The 2116-nt window shown below is 51.3% G+C and overlaps 1 pseudogene; it reads right to left on the reverse strand.

Annotated features, from left to right (window-relative positions):
- Positions 117 to 1585, reverse strand: SYNGR2P2 (synaptogyrin 2 pseudogene 2; annotated as a pseudogene).

A 2116-nucleotide genomic window follows, 5' to 3' on the forward strand; every position in this document is an offset into this window, starting at 1 on the left:
GGGAGTAAAAGGTAGAAATGAACAGAATATTTTTAGAAATTTTAATCAGCTTTATTGGGTATAAACACATTTAAAAAACCATAAAATTCATGTTTTTTTTTTTTTTTTTTTTTTTGGAATGAGAAAACATTTATTCCATCTCCAAACAGCATCCCAGGGCGGGGCATCTCCCCTAAGGCTTTATAATACATTCAGCACAGACAGAGTCTGGGAGCCATGGGGCACCCCTGCCCTCCTCACGCTTCTTAAGTAACAACTGCATAATATTTACATAAAGCTGGGTGTTGTCAGGCAAAGCTCTTCCCTGCTGCCAGGAGTGGGAGCAAGGAGGAAGTGTTGTGGGCACCGGCCCCACCCCCACACCATGGGAGGCAGCCCAGAGACCACTGGCACAGGGTGGTGGCCCCCAGATCATACAGCAGTGGGGATAGGGGGAGCAAACCTGAGTGAGGACGCAGGAGCCTGGTCCCGCCCCACTGCACAGGGCAGGTGTGAGGGCTCCCCCGAGTCTTTGGCAGAGAACGCAGATAACAGCGACTCCCACAGCCTGACCTGGGCTGGGGGGAAGCTGAGGCACTTGTCAGTAGCACATGGGTGCCTGCTGGCTTCTAGCCACTCCAGGAGGGGCCGGGGTCATTAAAAGCAAGGAGAAACACTAGCTAAAAACCCTTTCCTAAAAGTGTCATGGAAGAGTGAGTGGCTGACTGAAGCCATCTGTGTGCGGGCACTTGGGGTGTGGCTCTGCCAGACCCCGAGGCTGGGAGGCTCCTTAGCTGTGTGTCAATCGCACAGGACGTGACAGGCGAAGGAGGGGGGCTGGCAGTTCCAGGAGGCTCGTGGGAAAGTCCAGGGCAGAGGGGAGGGTCCTCTCTGCCCCCCTTCCCACCCCAAACGGCACTCAGCCACTCAGTACACAGGGGGCGGCTGGTAGCCCTCAGTGGTCTCCGCATTCTGGGTGAAGGGCAGATGCTGGTAGTTGTCCACAGATGCACCTGGGTAGGAGGCGTAGGCAGTGTTGGGGTCCAGGGTGGAGTCGACGTAGTTCTGGATGAAGTCCACGCCAGCCTTGTAGTGCCGGTAGGCCAGGAAGGCCAGCACGCCCCAGGAGAAGATGGAAAAGAAGCTGAAGGTGATGGCTGCCTGCGCGGAGTTGGCCCCCACCAGCACGTCCTCCGGTTGGGTGGCCGCCCACTGGTTAGTGAGGAAGTAGAAACCAACAAACCACAGGAAGGCTCAGAGAGCTGAGAAGAGCAGGTCACCCACGACCAGGTACTTGCGGTCAGTGGCATTAATGATCTGGGGAAAATAAACGTCGACCACCAAGGAGGCCGAGGCCTGGAAGGCCAGCACCCTGATGGCATTGCGGTAGCGGAAGGCGTCCTCGTTATGGTTGAAAACGCAGTACCTCTGCTTAGACTTGCTGTAGCCCTTGTCATAGATGCAGGAGAACACGATCAAGGCGAAGACCCTGCACGCAGCGCTCACCACCACCTGCGGTTGCGTCAGGAAGCGCCCGCAGGTGGAAGGAGCCGCCCGCCTTTGGCAGCGCCATAGGCCCCGCTCTCCATGTTGCCGTCGCCGCAGCCAAATTCATGTGTTTTAAATGTACAGTTTGATGAGTTTTGACAAATGCATGTAGTCATGTAACCACCACCACAATCAAGGTATAGAATATGTTCATCACCCACCATAATTGCCTTCTGTCACATAACATTTGACCCTGTTTTCACACCTCCACTCTTTGGCAACCACTGATCTGATTTCTGTCACCACAGTTTTGCCTTTTCTGGAATGTCATAAAAATAGAATCATATGGTATGTAGTCTCCTGAGTCTGGCTTCTTGCACTGCGCTTAACGGTTTTGAGATTTATTTGTTTGTGCAAAAATCATATTCTTTTTTGTTGTTGTTTACTAGTATTCCATTTTGTGGATAACCAAGATTTGTTTGTTCATTAAGCCTATTGGACATTTGGGGTGCTTCTAGTTTGGAGCTACTATGAATAAAGTCCATTGTGAACCTTTATATTCTTTTGTATGAACATCTGTATGCATTTAAGTCAGGTCAATACCTAATAGTGAAATTGCTGGGTGATGTAGTAAGTTTGTGTTTAAATA

The sequence above is a fragment of the Homo sapiens genome, chromosome 9 (assembly GCF_000001405.40).
Source record: "Homo sapiens chromosome 9, GRCh38.p14 Primary Assembly".
In the NCBI taxonomy this organism is placed as follows: domain Eukaryota; kingdom Metazoa; phylum Chordata; class Mammalia; order Primates; family Hominidae; genus Homo; species Homo sapiens.